General features: G+C 37.9%; 1 long non-coding RNA gene across 2 annotated transcripts, besides 2 other annotated features; it reads right to left on the bottom strand.

The window, feature by feature from the left end:
* Positions 1 to 1,718: 1,718 nt before the first annotated feature.
* On the bottom strand, positions 1,719 to 13,679 carry LOC101927235 (uncharacterized). Of its 2 annotated transcripts, none has more exons than XR_245007.4 (3): positions 13,110 to 13,679; positions 8,318 to 8,478; positions 1,719 to 1,934 (listed from the first exon to the last, which is right to left on the bottom strand). It is a non-coding gene; the product is annotated as an uncharacterized LOC101927235 (long non-coding RNA). The 2 variants fall into 2 exon arrangements; XR_940113.3 differs by having other exon boundaries at positions 13,287 to 13,679.
* Positions 12,108 to 12,607: an enhancer, noted in NCBI's record as "H3K27ac hESC enhancer chr2:57929429-57929928 (GRCh37/hg19 assembly coordinates)". NCBI's record gives its function as "activates a minimal SCP1, AML or CMV promoter by ChIP-STARR-seq in naive H9 embryonic stem cells {active_cell/tissue: H9 hESC(naive)}" and the evidence as "EXISTENCE:reporter gene assay evidence [ECO:0000049][PMID:30033119]".
* Positions 12,608 to 13,109: an enhancer, noted in NCBI's record as "H3K27ac hESC enhancer chr2:57928927-57929428 (GRCh37/hg19 assembly coordinates)". NCBI's record gives its function as "activates a minimal SCP1, AML or CMV promoter by ChIP-STARR-seq in naive H9 embryonic stem cells {active_cell/tissue: H9 hESC(naive)}" and the evidence as "EXISTENCE:reporter gene assay evidence [ECO:0000049][PMID:30033119]".
* Positions 13,680 to 18,566: the final 4,887 nt, after the last annotated feature.

Below are 18,566 nucleotides of genomic sequence, written 5' to 3'. Positions count from 1 at the left end.
CGTCTACTAGAATGCGAGAAGTGGGGACATAGTTTCAGGCACAGAGAAGCAGTTGTTTCTTCTCTGGAATGAATGAAGCCCTAGGAAAAATAACTCTCAATAATCCCAGTCTGAGCATTCATGTGTTCATTGTGGAGTCCTCACATAGCCATAGGTCAGTGTTAAAGAAGAAACTACCTTATAAGACAGAACTCTGGTCAGAAAGCCTAAGTACTTGGTTTTATCATATCATAATATGCAGAGGGGAATCTCCCTACTGAACTTTCTGTAATCTATGCTATTAAAATCCATAGAATCATGAATCCATAAAACAGTAAAAGCAGGATTGGCATGTGGACTAAACTCTCCAGTAAAGGTGAGTAAATGGAGATTTACAAAAGCACCCAGGTTCTTAGCAATACATTTGGGATAGACCAGGTCTCTGTAATCCCAGTTTGTGCTCTTTTGACTGGACTAGGTGTGGTTCTATGTGGTTCCCATAATTTGTGTTCTGTCTTACACACCTCACTGTACTTGGGTGGATGTGGAATGTCTTCTGCATCTTTTCTGCTTCTGCCTTCCACTCACCCCTTTCTCCTAACCAGTGCTTCTCCACCATTAACAAGGTTTTACATGTAGAATATGCCTCTAGATGAATACTGATTGAGTCTGAGCTGGCAGTCGACTGCCTCTCAGAATTACAATGACCCATAATAATGTTTAGGTCAAAAGATTTATTTGAAGCTCATAGATACTTTTGGAAGCCATATGCAAAAACATTTCTTCAAATAAAAAAAAAGTTTCTTTTTAAATTAGACTAGATCCTATGTCTTTTTGGAGTTGTAGAACTAAAGTAAGTGATAGAAGTGGAGTAGCTCTAAGAAAGCTTTTGTATTATAGCAAACAAATTAATAGACTCTAGAATGGTGCTAAAATACTGTGCACCAAAGACAAGACAAGACAAAACAGATTATTTAGCAATGCTTTTTGTTTTGTTTTTGTTTTTCTCCTCCACAGTATTCTCATAGAGTACCTCTTAAGGAAGAGATCCATGCCCTGGATTGCACTTGCTTTTAGAGAAGCCAGTGGTTGAGTCTTTCAGGAGCCAGAAACATTAGGGAATTTTTTTTATCAGCCCTACCCCAGCAATTTGCCACATAATCTGGTTCAATGGGTGATCTTTGAATTTAAGATAAGTTTGTATTGCATCCCAAATTGAGACACAGTGACAGTCATTCTTTCAAATATGAAAAAGCTGCTTATGCTTTAACCCAAGAGAGTCTGTCATGTTAGTAGATTTTTAAACAATTTGGATCCTATCCTGATACTCTCATGATTTGATGTATATGCAATTTATTACAGTTTTGTAATATATTTACAAGTATGCCTGTCAAGGCTAGGAGATATAATTTGGAGGCCTTGAAGTACAGTAAAATCAACTGGCTTAGGCACGCATGGAACTCATGTGCTTGCCAATCACAACCCACCACATAATTCATCGATCACAGTTTACCTGAAGATAGCCATTCACTTATCCATGTATTTAATCGATATAATGACATAGCTCATAGTTGTTTAGTCCTTTGTCATCACTAAAGGATATTTAGGTAAATTTTCTCACTTGAGCTTAACAAGTCTCCTACGGAGTTAAATATTGACTCTTAGAAGTAAGAAAAAGAAAAGCCATGAACAGCCTGTCTTGCCCAGGTACACGTAGCTCATGAATGAGACCATGATGGTGCAAAATCAAAAATTTTTTATTCCAAATACAATATTCTTTCCACCACACCTCGGCTGCAAGGCATTTTGTAGAGAATCTGTCTGGGGAGAAGGTGACTTTTGTGGTGTGGTTCTGGAGGAATAAGGACGCTGAAGTGCCAGCCCTCTCAGGTGTTCCATATTAACATCTCAGCTTTGCAGTCAAGGTTTGGCATGAGAGCATTGTGACAGTGGCACTGTAGAGCAAGAGAACTGAATGTTAAAAGATCTGAATTTTAGACATGCTGGATAACGACTTCATTATTCCAGACTTTTCTCCAACTTTATAGTAAGCAGCTAGACTGCAAAATACTTTAGATCAGTGATCAGCATACAGCTCCCTGGGCCAAACTCAGCTTCCTTTTATAAAAAAGGTTTTATTGGGACACAGCTACGCACATTTGATTATGTTATTTTCCATGACTCCTTTCACACTATAATGGCAGTGCTGAGTAGTTGCCACAGAGACCATATGCCCTGCAAAGCCCTTGACTGAGAAAGTTTGCCATCTCTTGTTTTTGGTCTCGTCTGTTTTATTTTGTTATTTTATTTTATCTTATTCTGTTTTATTTGTCAATGGGAGAATGAGCATTTTCTCAAAGAAGTATTTTTGAAGTACATCTTTAGCTAATGGAGGGCATTTGTTTTAGCCAGCAAAGATTCAGCTGTCACTGTACAAGGTCCCTGGAGAAGCCGTCTTTCTCATTCCAGGAACTAAGAAAGGTGTTTTCTAGGTCTGTATCACATTTCCACAAATACAGGTTCAATTAAAGTACCTTTTCTTTTAATTTTTCCCATTCTTTATTGTCATTCAACCTTGGGTTGAGCCAGCGAGATTGGTAAGAGCTGCCCCCTGGAGACCTCCTGCAAATGCTATTCCATGAAGTAGTGGTTTCCCAATGTGCATCTCATACAAAACCAAACAATACAAATAATGCTGCTATTGTACCTTTCTTATGGCTGGTCTCAAGGGGGTGAGACTGTCATCATAAAACATAACAAAGCTGCTATAGAAATGGACAGACAGAGGAGAGAGTAGTCTGAGGGCCTCAGAACCTCAACAGAAACTTCCTCTAAGCTGGCAGCTGAAAGCTGCAGGGTTTTTTCTTGGTTATTTATTGAAATGTGAAGATTTCTTGTCTCAATGGGTAGTTGCAGAATTTTTTATACTGTTATCTACATGTGAATTATTGACTGGATTATCAAAGCCATTATACTTATAAATCTTGAAGTATTAACTGAGAAGCAGGAATAACTTTTTAAAACCCCAGATTGTTAGATTAGTAAGTGCTAACAGGCAACCTTATTTCTCTTGCTAGATGGCTTTTGATGAAATCAACAGAATGCACAAGTTAGGTAAATGAATGTGGAGTTAGATTTACTGAAACTCATCATGGTATAGGCTCCCCAGTAGCATAGGTTATTCTGTTTTAAACAAAAATTACTTGATTTTTATTTACTTAGGAACACTCTTTTGCTTAATCATATCACATACCTCTCCTATTTGTTTGTTAAATCTAGTTTTTCAACATTTGGTGCAAAGATGTATTTACATAACTTGTATGATTCATAATATTCCTATATCCAGAATTTGGTGGACAGATTGTCATATAGAGGGAAGCCAGACTGCAAGGAAAAATTCTTTCTATAGGACTCACTGCATAATCATGAAAGGAAGAAAAATCTGACCTATTCAGATTTCTGCCTTCAGCACCTACTTTTTGGTGTCCTCAGAACTCACGTTTTGTGGTCTGAATAAAAAGTAAGTAACAGCTAACTCAGCTTTCTGTAAGTTATAGTAATACTTCCATTAGACATGGGGAATATTGATAGATTCAAAAGATGAAGAAGAAATCTCCAGGAGGACCAAACTGCACTGTGGAGGTTTGGAAATATTTCTTTGCTTTTGGTACAGAAGGTGAAGCAGAATGATTTCAGTTGGAAGAAAGGATCTAAGCTTGGCAAGGCTACTCAGAAGCCATTATAATGTTAATTAAAGAATGTTCATGAAAGGGAAAAAAACAAAAATCCATCTCTATAGTGGGTTCCAATCTATGGGCCAAACAGAAGCAATTTCCCCTCTTCCTAAACACCAAATCCTACAGCTGGATGTTTAGACCATATCTGATCTCTGCCTTGTTGATCCCCTGACCAATCCATCACGTGAAAACAAACCTGTCAGGCAGTAGTGTCTCAGTATGCTGCCCTCTCAGATGTATTCCCCAGTTGGCTGACATCACGCCAACTAGTGAAAATCCCACACTTGAGTGGTGCTGTCTGTCAGGCGTTGGGACGAGGAAAACAAGCGTGCTGGGGCAGACATCCTGTATCCATCCCAGAGTCAGAGGGTCTCTGAGGAGCAGCCAAATAAGCTGCTCACTTCAGAATACCTTATTATACATTTATTCTACAATCCCAAGATGGGAGTTGCTACCCCCATAGCACAACTGGCCTCAATGTCTGTACAGCCCAAGAAATCCACATAACTCATGCAGGCTACAGCAACTAACAATAGGACCTATGCTGTATTGAGCTCTGCTAACATTAAAATAACGATCTAAAATCCCCAGGATAACTTTCCATAAATCTAATGCATGAGTTCTTTTTTTTTTATTGAAGAGTAATACCAGCAGTTAAACCTTATAGGTATCCAGAAGCAATTACAAAATGAGGAGATTATGGTGGCGATATTGTAAATGGAACTCACTTAAATGTCAAAGCACTTGCCATAAAAGTGGCAATAATGATGCTAAACACAATACACTGTTTCAAATATTAGTTTTTTCATTTTTTCCTCTATTAGACATGATGAGGTTCAAACAACCATCACCAAACTGACTGTGAAAATAATAATATCATCATTATCATGTGCTGGCAAAGCACGAATGGCTCTGTCATTCTGTCCTACAGACGCTTACTAATGGAACAAGAATCAGACATAAATCCCTAGAGGTAAAAATGGCAGGGCATTACCAGGCTCAGAGCATAATTGTAAACCTGCATGCTAATAAGCGTGGCTTTTAAAGATACCAATCATAGCAAAAATGGCAATAAAGATAATTTTTCAGGCTGTAATTATTTGCTGGTCATAAAATATTTTTAGCTTTGGAACGTTTGTTGTTACTGTTTGGTATTTACTTCCAGCCTACTTGTTAATCCAATTCAATCTAATTCCTTAAGAACAAGCTGCATGCCTGCTTCTCCTTTCCTTCTTTCATGAGCACCAATCAAGCTCCTACTGTATATAGGTATTGTGCTAAACAGCAAGAGAAGCATACTGCACCGGCTTGGTCCTATAGCAATTGATTGTCAGGTTGAGGGAAATTTTAAAAGGGGGTATACATGCCAATTAGAAAAACTCAAGGCAAAAAAAATTAAATAAGTAAACAGGAATACTTACATTCTTCTATTGAATTTACCAAAGTCCATCTCAGGTGAGAAGAAAGCTATGACTAAATCAATCTTAAACTTATATCTGAAAATTCAAACAAGGAATTGCAGAATTGGATTGACTGATCTTTATCATATTCTGCTTAGGAATGTGCAAAGGGGTCGAATGACTGCTTGGTGAATATTCATAGTTGTTCAACAATCTCAAATTTTTAATATTTCAGAGGGATGTTCAAAATCGTTCCAGAAGCTGGTAATTAAAGGAAAGCAATAAAAATCTTTTTTTTTTCAATGGGAAAGTACAATACTGTTCTGCTAAAATTTCTGATTCCAAGGACATTTCTAATGATAAAAGATCTTAAGAAAAATGAAGGAGGTGAAGATAGGGCTGCTTCTATTTTAAGTAGAAGCATATGTTTATACTTCTCGGTGGGAAACTTCTAGGCAGCAATCAAGGGAACTTACCTTACAAGTACTGTATAAGTGAAGAGTTTAAAATAGTTTTTAGTTGAAAAAAGAACAGGAAACTATTTCAAAACTGAAAAAAATTGATTTTTGATTGTAATCAAGTAGCCTTGCCTATTTCTGTATCATAATGAATATCAATTAGTAGAAAACATGAGAAAATAAATTTTCATATACTAAAAAATTAGATACACATATCAGAAAAAGTATGAAAATGATGTGCTTTTTTCTAAGCCCTATCGTTACTTCCACAATAACCAACAGATCTAATCTGCCAACTATCTAACTTCCTTCCTTCCTTTCTCTCCCTGTCTCTTCCTTTCTTCTTTTTTTCTTTTTAGGCTATCCTAGAAGTAATTAAAGTTAGTGATGGGTAGTGGCCTCTGCTTCTCTTGGCTGTGGTTGTCAGACACAAGTTTTGTTTGTTTGCTTGATTTGTTGAAAAGAGCATCCTATTTGGTGAGTGTAAAGTCTCATCACTTTTTTTCTTTTTGAACAACAGATTATATGATGGTACCAAAAAGGTGAAAAACTTTTACTTGTGCATTATAAAGTAGGAGACATAAACTTCCCTCTCCTTTACATCTGCTCTCTCCTCCCTCTTTTTTGTTCGTCCCTTTTTTCTTCCCTGATCCTCCTTTAGGGGTCCCACAGTGCTTTCATTTCACCCCTCTACCCCAAAAAAAGTCAGGCGTTTCCACCTGCATGTTTCATAGAACGTTAAACCAATATGTCTAGAGAGATTCACCATCATCTTCTCTCTACACGATTTCTGTTAACATTATCACCATTCATAAAAAAGTCGATTCATCAAGACTTCTCTTTTTCACAAGCCCCTCATGTCCAGGTACTGCTGCCTCTATAATTCTTTGGCCAAACATTTATTTCTTTTCTTCTCCCTCCCAGAGGTTTACATCTCATTATGTCATTACTGAACATTACAAATAGCTTTTTATTGGGTTTTCTATCTAGCAAGTTTTAACTTATAAAATACATTTGATTAGTGATTACCAGATTTATATTCTGGTCATATCATGAGGAAGGCTGAAAACATTCACTATCAACCTGGTGTCTCCAGAACAGAGGATATGTAGTGATGATAAGCAGATGAATACAAAGTAGGGAAAAGTACAAATAGTAATAACTTCATTTCAGGGTTGTTTGGAAGATTAGATATTTATAGCACACAGCATAATGTCACTCATCTAAATTGAGCTTAAAAATGTTATTATTGGCCAGGCGCGGTGGCTCAGGCCTGTAATCCCAGCACTTTGGGAGGCCGAGGTGGGCGGATCACGAGGTCAAGAGATTGAGACAATCCTGGCCAACATGGTGAAATGCTGTCTCTACTAAAAATACAAAAATTGGCTGGGTGTGGTGGCACATGCCTGTAGTCTCAGCTACTCGGGAGGCTGAGGCAGGAGAATCACTGGAACCTCAGAGGCAGAGGTTGCAGTGAGCTGAGATCACGCCACTGCACTCCAGCCTGGTGACAGAGCGAGACTCTGTCTCAAAAAAAAAAAAAAAAAAAGTTATTACTGCCTTCTTCTGTTTGGACATTGTTGGAGTAATGGAGAAAAGAGATTATGTTTCCTCTATTCTGGATAGATTTCATAGAACACTATAGTCTTTGAGATATAAATTTTAAGACAGTTTTATCAGCACATAGATTTAAAAGCTTGATTTGGAATTTATTAATCATTCGCTTGTGTAATTTATTTTGGAAACATCATAAAAACAAAAATTAACAAACCCTCGCTCCCTTGCTGCAAAAACAAAACAAAACAAAACCAAAAAAAACCCACATTAGAGCCTCACAAATGGAACTATATTCTGAAATTTAAACTGGGCATTTTTAATACAGTTTGAAAAATTACGTGGCTCTATTATTCAAATGAGAAAAGTAGTTGATGTGCATTCAGATTAGTTCCTTTAATAATGCTTTTAAAAAACTCTATGGCTATTACTGACTCAGTAGTACAATGATAATTTGCAATGCCCCATTGGCTTCAATAAAAGGGTAAAGAAAATGGTTTAAGTTATCTTAGAGAGGCTAGTATGAGGCAGTATAAAAAGTAAGGGATTTTTTTTTAAACTCCGAAAATAAAAGGCACAAAGTGAAATATATGCATTCTACCCACTTATGTTCCCAAAGGAGCCTCCAGCTTCCAGGAGACCAGTATAAGCTGAATTTGTAACAGACAAGTTTCAACTCCTATTTACTCTTCAATCGTGAGTAGGCTAAGACTTGGATAAAAAAGTTCTGGAGCCCTAGAAGAAGGCACACGGCAAGATGGCTGAAGCCACAAGATAGAGAAAAAAGAAAATTCCTACCTCAGAAGAGGTTGTTAGAGGGTGATTTTATCCAAAAGTTCTTTGAACCAGAAGGAAAAGTTCTTAGATGTTTGGATCTGGTTTTCTGCCCAAGCTAAATAACTCACCAGAAACCCAAACTGCTAGTTTAAAGAGGATTAAGATTAGGCTTCTTCTAAAACAGTATGACCTTGTGCTAAGGCTTCCACTAAATTTGTTGTCACCATACCTGACATCTCTCAGATGTCACACTCACCCTATGAAGCACATAGCTCTAGAGCAATTACAAGAGCCTCTGGACTCGGGAAACCCTCATGCTTGCTTTATTCCCTGTGACCAATGGCTACAGCCAATGTGCTGATATAGGACCTGCCTGCTGGTCTCAAAATTCCCAAGTCTGAGAATTGTTCACCTTCACTGAGTCTATGACCTGTGATCACACATATCTGATGTCTCATTTTTCTCTGGCAGAATATCTATCTCGATGAGGTTTCGTTTTGTCTCTGGCAGAATATCTATCTCGATGAGGTTTTCCTGATTTTTCACTCTGTTGCAACTTTTCTTCTGTTTTCTCTGAAGGAGAAATGACATGTAATTTAGTACCTACTTAAAGGCCCACATTGATGCTGACAGTTATGCTATCTGGCCCATGCTTTGTTATCTAGAACTGATAGAATTAAATTTGATTTAATTTTTTCTAAAGCTCATCCATTTAATAACTGTCCTTCTATAGGCATGGTCTACTAATGGTAACTGTTATTAGTACAGAGGTAATAAAAGTCAACTTTTACTTTGAGCTTTGTACAGTGACCCACACATTTTGTTGTGTATGTCAACAGAAATTGTATGTGTCTACAATCATTGACACTTGTTTATGGGGCTTTTAAGGCCCATAAAAGCCATAATTTGGAGAAATTAAATCTAAGTAATAATATTTAGGCTAAGTGTGTCTGTGATGCTCAGCAGGATTTCAGTGCAAGATCCAAGTCAATTGGCTCCAATTACAGATGATCAAAATGTGTTCTAGTCTGTCTTAATACTAGGACAGTTAATACAAAATGCACTCCATATTTTATTTCCCCAGTTTACATTTTCTATCTGTGATTGGAAGGATTTTAAGTCACAGTGACAAAGTAAAAATTTTGTTCCTCAGAGATTTTAAATGCAGAAGAATAAGTCATAGAAAGAGAGAGATTAAATAAAGTGATTTTAACTCCACTGTTACTTTTAAGAATACTCAGGCAGCTCATACAGTGTATTATAGTGATTAAAACACTCAATAAAGCTAGCTGTGTGGATTTGAATCCCAGCTCTACTTCTCGTTGGCTTCTGAGCTTGGGCAAGGTCTTTGCTTTAGATAACTTATTTGTTAAATTGAAATAATACTACTATTCATTTCCTAGAGCCATTTGGAGATTTAAATGAATTAATAGGTAATAAGTGTTTAAAATATTTTCTAGCACAGACTAAAAGCTCAATAAATATAATTTCTATGCAAGCTTTTACATGTTGTCAAGGTTCATAGGAGCCAAATTGCAGAATTCACAGATGCAGTTCAATTAGAACACACTTGAGATGCTACTTTAATCACAGAACATTTCGATAACATTTTAATAGAAGACATTTTAAAGCCTTTTGCTATGTAGGCCCAGAATGTTTTGAATGAGGGAAAACAGAAAGTTGGGAGGTCACAATTACTTTACAAAAAAATCTTTACATTTCTATATGTAACAAAATATGCCATGTTTATATATTTCATTTTGTATTTCATATTATTTATATTTCTCATAAAGTAAACGTGTTATTGACTAGACAATCAAATTTACCAATAATTATATTTATTCTTATTTCAATATGGACTACCAGAGTAAGACAGTCCTTAAAATGGAAGATAATCGTTTTATTTTATTATGCCACACCTTTTTTTCCCACCTTTAAATTTTTCTAAAATTAAGGAATATTATAACACTTTCCAAATTATATGAGATTATACTATAAGGAGAGGTATGGTATATTAAATATGCTTGCATATTTTACTCTTCTTTCAAGATGTGGATTCCCTTGAATTTGACCAGTTTTTAATGATATAGTTGATCAATAGACTATTGTTGAAGTGATATTCCAGAATTTCTAAGGCTTAGTCAGTGTGTTCCTAGAATGTTTGTTCTTAGGAGAAAACAGCCTCTCTTTAACAAGTCCTACTATGCTGAGGCTACCTTGCTGTGAAGATGACCAAAGCTAGCTATGTTGACAGGCCACATGGAGAGAGATGCACACACAGTCCCAGTTGTTCCAGTAACCCAACCTAGGTGAGTAAAGAAGTCATCTTAAGGCTGCGTGCAGTGGCTCATGCCTGTAATCCCCACACTTTGGGAGGCTGAGATGGGAGGACTGTTTGAGCCCATGAGTTCAAGACCAGCCTAGGCAACATAAGGAGACCCTGTCTCTACAAAAAATTAGCCAGATGTGGTGGTGCTTGCCTGTGGTCCCATCTACTTGGGAGGCTGAGGTGCAAGGATCACCTGAGCCCAGAAGGTGGAGGCTGCAGTGAGCCGCGATTGTCCCACTGTGCTCCAGCCTGGGTGACAGAGTGAGACCCTGTCTCAAGAAAAACAACAAACACACACAAGAACGAGAAACAAAGTCATCTTAGACACTGCAGTATTAGCAGACACAAAGTGGAAAATTGATGAACCCGCACAACAGACTGGAACAAAGACTCCAAACATACCACCCAATAAAGCTGTCCCAGCCATCTTAACCTATTCAAGCCACCTTAGTTGAGAACTCAGATATTATGGAGAAAAGATTAGCTATTCTACTGTGCCTTATTCAAATTCCAGACCTACAAAATGGCAAAGGTAACCAACTGCTTGTTGGTTATGTTTTAATCCCACTAAATTTTGGGGTGGTGGTTATGCAGCAATAAATATCTGGAACAAAGGGAAATAGTATCGTGTGACTGCAAGTCCAAGGTCTCATTTTAAAATTTAAGACATTGTCTTCTTTTTTCTTTTATCTTTGCTCCTGTCTCCATTACTCCTCACTGAGAAAACAAAAAAACCTACCCACTATTGGTTTGCTGTCATTTAAATATCCTTGTCTCTGATTGATCTTCTACCCATAGGTCATCAAAGTCTGTAATACTTTCCCTGACAATCCATGTAGATTTTGCTTAAAATTAAAAAAAGTTTGCATACGAAGTAATCAATATTATGCTTTGGTTTTACTCTTAGAAGTTCTACTTTCACTCACCTGGTAAGCCTAGAAACAAAGAAGCTATTATGCGCATCATACCCAGGGTTTTTAATTTTAAATGATGACTTTATAGCTCAAGCACATGCCAAGGGAGGAAACAAGGCAGGTACATGGCCACAGAGAGCTTGCTGAGTATGTGCGAACAACACTTGAGCACATGTCTAGAGGAGTGAGTCTGTTAGAATGTTAACAATGGCATTTTCTGTTTTCACTTAAGTGGTGGTTCATTTAGGAGGTACTTTTCCCAAAGGAACAATCATTTTTGAGACTTTAAAATCTCTGAATAGTATATTTTCACTCAACCAATTCTCATAGCCTTCTGTAAAATATCACAAAATCTCAGAGTTTATGAAGAAGGAATATTTTGTTTTGTTGCAATTTCCTCCAAAGAGAGAAAAAGTAAACACGCATGGTCTTAAATAGTGTTGTGCTGTTTAAAACTCTAACTTACAACTAGTGAAGAAATATGGTTTCCTATAATCATAAAGCTTTTACCCATAGGTAATTCCATTTTTAAGTGTTTCTGTAGAGAACATCCCTCTCCTTTCCTTCAAATTTTCATTCTCCTTATCTTTTGATTGATGACCAAGAATGGCATTTAGTTTAGGAATCCCAACTAATTACTATTTTTCAGACACCAGATACCATCACTTTTTTTGGTAGTCCTCAATTTAAAATTATATTTATTTCTAAAATTTTTAAAATTTTTAATTTTGGGGTACATAGTAGGTGTATGGGGACTTGTATTAAATATTTACTTTGATATTCTCTTGAGACTCCACTCATGCACACACACAATTTCTCTCTGCCTCTTTCTATATAATCTTTCTCCCTTTCAGCTATCAATCCATTTATCCGTCTATGTACTAGATTGCTGGAACTTAGCACCCTCTTCCAAAAACTCAGTTTTTAAAAGCCTCAAGGAGGTTCCTCATGACAGTTCACAAATCAGTCTATCATCAAAAATCATCATTATGCATCTGCCATATTTTTTTTCTTTTACTTAGGTTCTGATTGGATGTCTTGGAGTCTGAAGTCCAATTTAGGGAGTTTCAGAGTCACTATGGGGATACAGTTGTTCATGAAATGCCTGTGACTAGGTCATGGGTGTTCTCTCAATGTTTTGTTCTTCTGATGGTCCAGGTCAATACCTATGCTGTCATCATTGACATCTCTCTTTCATGACACAAATGCAACCTATAAGTCAATTCTGATTGCTTTAGTGCAATATACTACCACCTTGGGACTGTAACAATAGCAGCTTAGCCAGTCTCCCTGCTTCTATTCACCACCAATCAGCCAGAATAACTGTATTTTATTTTTTAACCTAAGTGATATCATGTCCTAGTTCTTTTACTGGGAATAGAAGGGCCTTCCAGCCATGCCTCCGCCTGGGACCAGGCCACTGACTGGTCTGGTGCTGCTCTCCCCTAGCCACATTGTGCTCCCTAGCACCAGGCCTTTCTGCATTTCCTCCAGCTGCCAAGTGCTCTCCCCTCAAGCGTGCTTTCCTCCAGGTATGAGCAGGGTTCACGCTATCTCTTCCTTCAAATCTCAGTTAACATTTCTCTGTATTAGGTAGACGACCCCAGCTAGATGCGTTCTTTCACTACCACACCATTCCCTCTTGGATTTATTTTTCTTTACAGCATTTTTCATTACTGAATGTATTATACTCTTTCTTATAGTATAACATACTATGATATTTAAGATATACTATCATTATAACATATTTTTATATAAATATACATGTACCATATAAGATGATTACATACTATTTTTTTTTAACTCGGTAACTGCCTTAAGAACAGAAAAACGTGTCTTTTTCATTTTTACATTACCAACAGCAAAAACAGGGACTATCATAAAGTAGTTGCTCAATAAATACTTGTCAATCAAATGAGCTTATAAACAAATGGAAGTCCCTGATCTTCAGAACGCCAAACCTGGGCTCCGATGGGTGTTTAGATGAGAATGGCCCTCTTCTCAATTCCACATGGTGTCGCTTGGGACCAACATATTGAGCTGTTTATCCCAAGAATATCACAGTCTGTGATCTTTGCCTCTCCCAAACCGATAAACATTTACAAACAAAACCCTAGTTCCTTCATGTTTGCACACACCCCTTGTCACAAGAAGAATTTAAATCAGCTCATGTGATTCCTTTTTGTCCCCATACATTCTTTCTAAATTCTTTCACCAGTCATTTCTCCCTGCATACACATTCTTGTCAAAACTTCTCAGGCCTACATGCGAAAGAGAAGCCTCATATTTTACATTCTTTTGCACAGAAGAAACAGTAGGGGGTAGAGAGACGTTTCCTTTTGGTAGCTGCCTCTGAATTTAAGCAGTTGCCCAAAGGAGAAGAAAAACCTGAGCTGTGGGGTTGGGGAGGCAAAATAGAATCTCTTTGCATTATTGGTTCACAAACTACTCATTACCTAACAATCTGCTTTATCTCTCTTGAAAATATAGTACCAATGTTACCATGATGTTAGTTTTCTACAACACCTTCGTTATTAACAACATAGTATTTCATTTTCTAATTCCACAGTGAAATTTATTTATTCAACTCTCCTTTTGCTGTTTAGGCTATTTTCAATTTCTTACTAGTGCAAACAAAATTGTCATGGATATTTCTGAGACTAATACTGGCTCAAGGGTTTGGCACCTTGTTAAAGTTAATAATTACCCACCAGGATTATTAAAACAATTTGCACACTTAGCAACAATACTTGAGAAGGCCCATATCTTGTTACCTGCACAGAGCTCTTTTCAATCTTTTTAATCTCTGAAAGTAATAGGCCCCCAATGGCATCTCATTGTTTTTTAAAATGTGTATTTCTTTCATAATCAAATTTTAACATTTTATATTTAATAAACATTCAGATATCCTATTTTGTGAGCCTAATTTATGCCCTTTGACCATTTTGACCATTTATCACTCTCTCTTTCTTTTTTTTTTTTTTTTTTTTTTTTTTTTTGAGATAGTGTCTCACTTTGTTGCCCAGGCTGGAGTGCAGTGGTGCGATCATAGCTCACTTTAACCTTGAACTTCTGGCCTTGAACAAGTGATTCTTCCACCTCAGTCTTTCAAGTAGCTAGGACCACAGGCACAGGCCACCATGCACCACTAATTTAATTTTTTTTTTCTCTGTAGAAATGGAGTCTCCTTATGTTGTCCTGACTTGTCTTAAACTCTTGGCTTCAAGTGATCCTTCCACCTTGGCCTCCCCAAAACTGGAATTACAGGTGTGGCTGACTGCCATGGTTACTACTTGAGACTATCATTACAACAGTTACTACTGATACTGCTTGAGACAGTCATTACGAGACTGAAGGAAGGAGGACGAATGTAGAAATAAAAACTTAAGACAAAAGTAACTATTTTAAAGGAAGGGGCTAGGGGAGGAAGAAGAGGGCTCTCTGCTTCCAGTAAGCAAAGGCAGCAACCTTGAGCTTCCACAGCCCTTTGTATTTATTGGGTAGAAAGAGCAGGGAGGAGGAGGTAATGATTGGTCAGCTGCTCGACTGATCACAGGTTCACATTATTGCTAACAGGCTTCAGATGTGCCTAATCAAAAGAAACACTTGTGCCTGGGTCGTGACTGCCCTCAGCATTCCTTCTGGGTGGCAGAGGCAGTTTGTCCGTCTGCCAACATTCTGCATTTATGAGAACAGTTTGCTGTTTACTCATACAGCCTCCAGTGGTATACTGGGTTGATCACGACCCTTACTCTTTTGGCCTTCAACATATAGGTGTGAGCCACTGTGTCTGGGCATTTTTCTCTTCTGGTATTTGCTTTTACTTTTACATTAAAATAAACAAATAATGGTCTTTATGAAGCATGTTAGATATTTACAGGTAGCAGACAGTTTATTCAAGTTTTACTTTTGTCCTTCTTGTGTCCAAGAGTGAGATGACTCTTTCCCGGGGTCTTGGAGGAACGGTGTATATGAACTGCAGGTTAGAACCTGTAGTAGCTCATCTGATACCTAGGAATTTCTTTTGACGCTTTCTAGGGTTGGAATCTCATAACATCCTCTCTCCTTGATGTTGGTACATCCTTCAAAGAAAGTTTTTTGGTAACTTTTCAAGGGATAATGGGATAAAAGAAAAAATATTTAAAAGGGCACATTGGATTAATTTTTCTCAGCTTTGAATATATCAAAAGATTTTCATTTTCTCCTTTTAATTTGGTTGGCAATTTTTAACTATGGCTTCATTGTTGTCTGACATCAAGTATTGCTGTTTAAAAAGCCAATTACATTCTGAGAAGACAACATGAAATGATTGGTCAATAAGGCAGGACACAAGCTTAATCGCTTCCCCCAATTTGTTATATCTGTGAAGAGCCAGCTTAGCTTCTGAGCTCCTGGTATAATCAGCTAAGGCCTCTGTTGTAACTGCATCTCAATTCAACTTCTTTATCTGCCAGATCTGCAGCTTGCATTCCCTCCCAGGTGGTGTTTTATGAGAGTATGCCCTCATAAACTTCCTGTATGCAAATCTGCACGTGAGAGTCTTTCTTAGAGCACCAGACCTAAGACAATTAGTCCCAAGAGAGGATCAAGAAAACAGATCCTAAATTGGAATGCTGAATCATCAGTAAATGGTAGGTAACATCACTGGTGGTAGATGGAGTACAGATAGGCTCTAGCACACTCTGGTGATGCAGTTGTTAAAACTTTCACCAGTGGTGACCTGGCATGGAAAACCAGGAAAGGAATTAATTGGCAGATGCAATATTTTAGAATCTAGAGAGGTTCAGAGTAAGTAGTAATTATAAGTACCATAGAATCTTATGATTGGTGAATATAAGCTATGCTTTAGAGAAAGATGATGAAATATGAAGTGATTAATCACCAATTTAATGTAAAATATAAAAGTCAGAAGGACTCCTTTTTAGCATACGAAAGGATGCTTATTTCTTGCAGCCAAGGACAGAAGACTGAAGGTGATGCATAGGACTTAATTTTAAACGGTGGCAAAACTCCAGAGAAGGTTAAGTTCTCAATCTGGCAAGTTTTCTGTGCTCTGACCTTGTTTGGAAAGTAGAGGGAACTTGAGCCTTGGGATAGGAAAAATGGGTTGATGCTTTTAAGGCTGTTGAAACTCCTTATCTCCCTGCATCCTCTGAGTCTGCTGAAGTGTCTTGCTCCTCATTGTTAAATGCCAGAACTTCACACTAGCTTAAATACAATGCAGAGACTCTGTCTTACAAGGCCAGGTACCCTTCTCCCCTCCTGTACTTATCTTCTGCCTCTCCTTGCCACCAGACTAATGACTAGGGTGAAAGTGCATAACTCATATGGAAAAGTTCTGAGCTTTCCATGGGACAAAAGGGGCTAACATTGAAAGATCTGAAGGAGCTAGCCAAGATATACTGGCAAGATCCGATAAAGTAGTTTTTGACTGGATCCTGAGAATTCTGGTTCAAGGAGGACAATAAAAAGTTGGATGAGAGAGTTTATTGACTCAGGAATACTTTTCTCTGTTAAGGGATTTTATACCCTAGCAAGGACCATATGAGTTAACACTTCTATACTGTTTGATAGGCATTTTGCAAAAAGCTATAGTCCACAATGAGTAAATTTAAAATGACAGAGCTCCATAGATGATACAACATGGGATCGAAGACTAAGAGAAATAAACATGCTAGAGTAGATACATTAGGAAAATCCAGAAAAACTCCTGCCAACCATATTATGTGGGAATGTCAGTTCAAATAGGATAGACAACAGTACATATTTACATGTTTGCCTTAGGGCAATATTAACTCTTCCATCCTCTAATATGGTCCAATGATCTCATGTAAATCTGGATGAGCAAGAAGTCACAAGTATATTCAAGTCATGGGTAATATATATGTGCCCCAGAAAGTGAGAGAAAAACCTATTGAGGTTCAGAGACTGATCACATTAGTGAAGTTTGTAGCAATTGATTGATCTGGAAAACGTTAGGACATCCTCTGCAACATAAATACAAATTATTACACTTTCCGGACCCTACCACTAAGAGAAAAGCACAATGCCTGGTAAACCTCTTTAAATTAGAGAGGTAGCTCATTCCACACTTTGGTAGAATACTTATCTGCCAAGTAACACAGACAGCTTCCAGCTTTGAGTGTAGCTTACAGAAGAAAAGGACTCTACAGAAGTTTTAGACTCTCCTGCAATTAGCTCTGCTATCTGGCCCATATGACCCAGCAGATCCTACAGTATTAGAGGCATCTGTGGTGAGAAAAGTTGCCATGTGGAGTTTATAGCAAACCCCAATAAAAGCATCACAACTTAGATACATATAACATCCATAAGAGATACCGATGCACCATTCACAGCTCCTGGTATGCTAATGGTTCCTGGCAGACATGGAGTGCTTGTCCATGGGAGATTAGGCCACTATGCAGCTTGAACGGCCCACCATGAGCTGGGTCAAGGTTAGATCGGCTCACTAGCAATCCATCGTAGGATAGAAAAGTTGAATCCAGAATCAAGTACAAATAGCTAGGCAGAGGAGTTGCAAGAGTGGGAATTGGTTATATAATATACCACCTAGAAGTTACAAGATTGACTGAGTTATGCAATGGCTCAGTTGTATCACCAGCGTCACCAGCGTGGAGATAATGCCCTAGGAGGATGGAGTGCCATGCTCTAGGCCATAGTGTAGAAATCAACAATTTTTATGTCATGATGTACTCCCCATAGATAGGAGACACCTGGATCCATGAAGCAGAAGTATCCCTGTTTACTATCATTCCCAGGAACCCACTTGAGGAACTTGTGCTGCTCTTCCCCACAACTTCAGGCATGTCTGAGATCTGAGCTCCCAGAGAAACAATGCTTTTGCCAGGGAACATAACAATAGTTCTGTCAGACTTGTTTATGCCTGCCACCTTGTCACTTCAGATTCCCTGGGCTAGGAGAACAGCAGCAGGCAAGGAAATGTGTCCTGGCCATCAGGAGGAGGTAGGTCTTCAGTCACACAATGGGTATAGGGAAGAATGTTTGTCACCTAGGTGATCCAGTGAGTCTCTCTCGATAGTCCCTTGCTTATATTTATGCTAAATATAAAAATGCAGAAGCCATGGACTAAGAAGGTGATGAAGACCAGGGGCTCAAACCCCTTAGGGATGATGGTCTGGATCATCCCATCATCACTTAAACCAGGAGAGGTGCTAGCTGTGGTTGAGGAGAATACAGAATCTTAGTGCAGAAGGGGAATAATGAATATTACTTGCAGCTCCAAGAATAATTATAACAGCAGGGGCTTTAGTTAGTCCTAGTCACCTTCCTCATATAAGTTTTTCCAGGCAAGAGGATGACCAGAATTCTAGAGAAGATGTTCCTAGATGGGGTACACTTATTATATGAAGCAAGTGAATCTTAGCAACATAAACATG

This window comes from Homo sapiens, chromosome 2 (assembly GCF_000001405.40).
Source record: "Homo sapiens chromosome 2, GRCh38.p14 Primary Assembly".
In the NCBI taxonomy this organism is placed as follows: domain Eukaryota; kingdom Metazoa; phylum Chordata; class Mammalia; order Primates; family Hominidae; genus Homo; species Homo sapiens.
The sequence above is the reverse complement of the archived record's forward strand: the minus strand, read 5'-3'. Positions and strand labels throughout refer to the sequence as shown.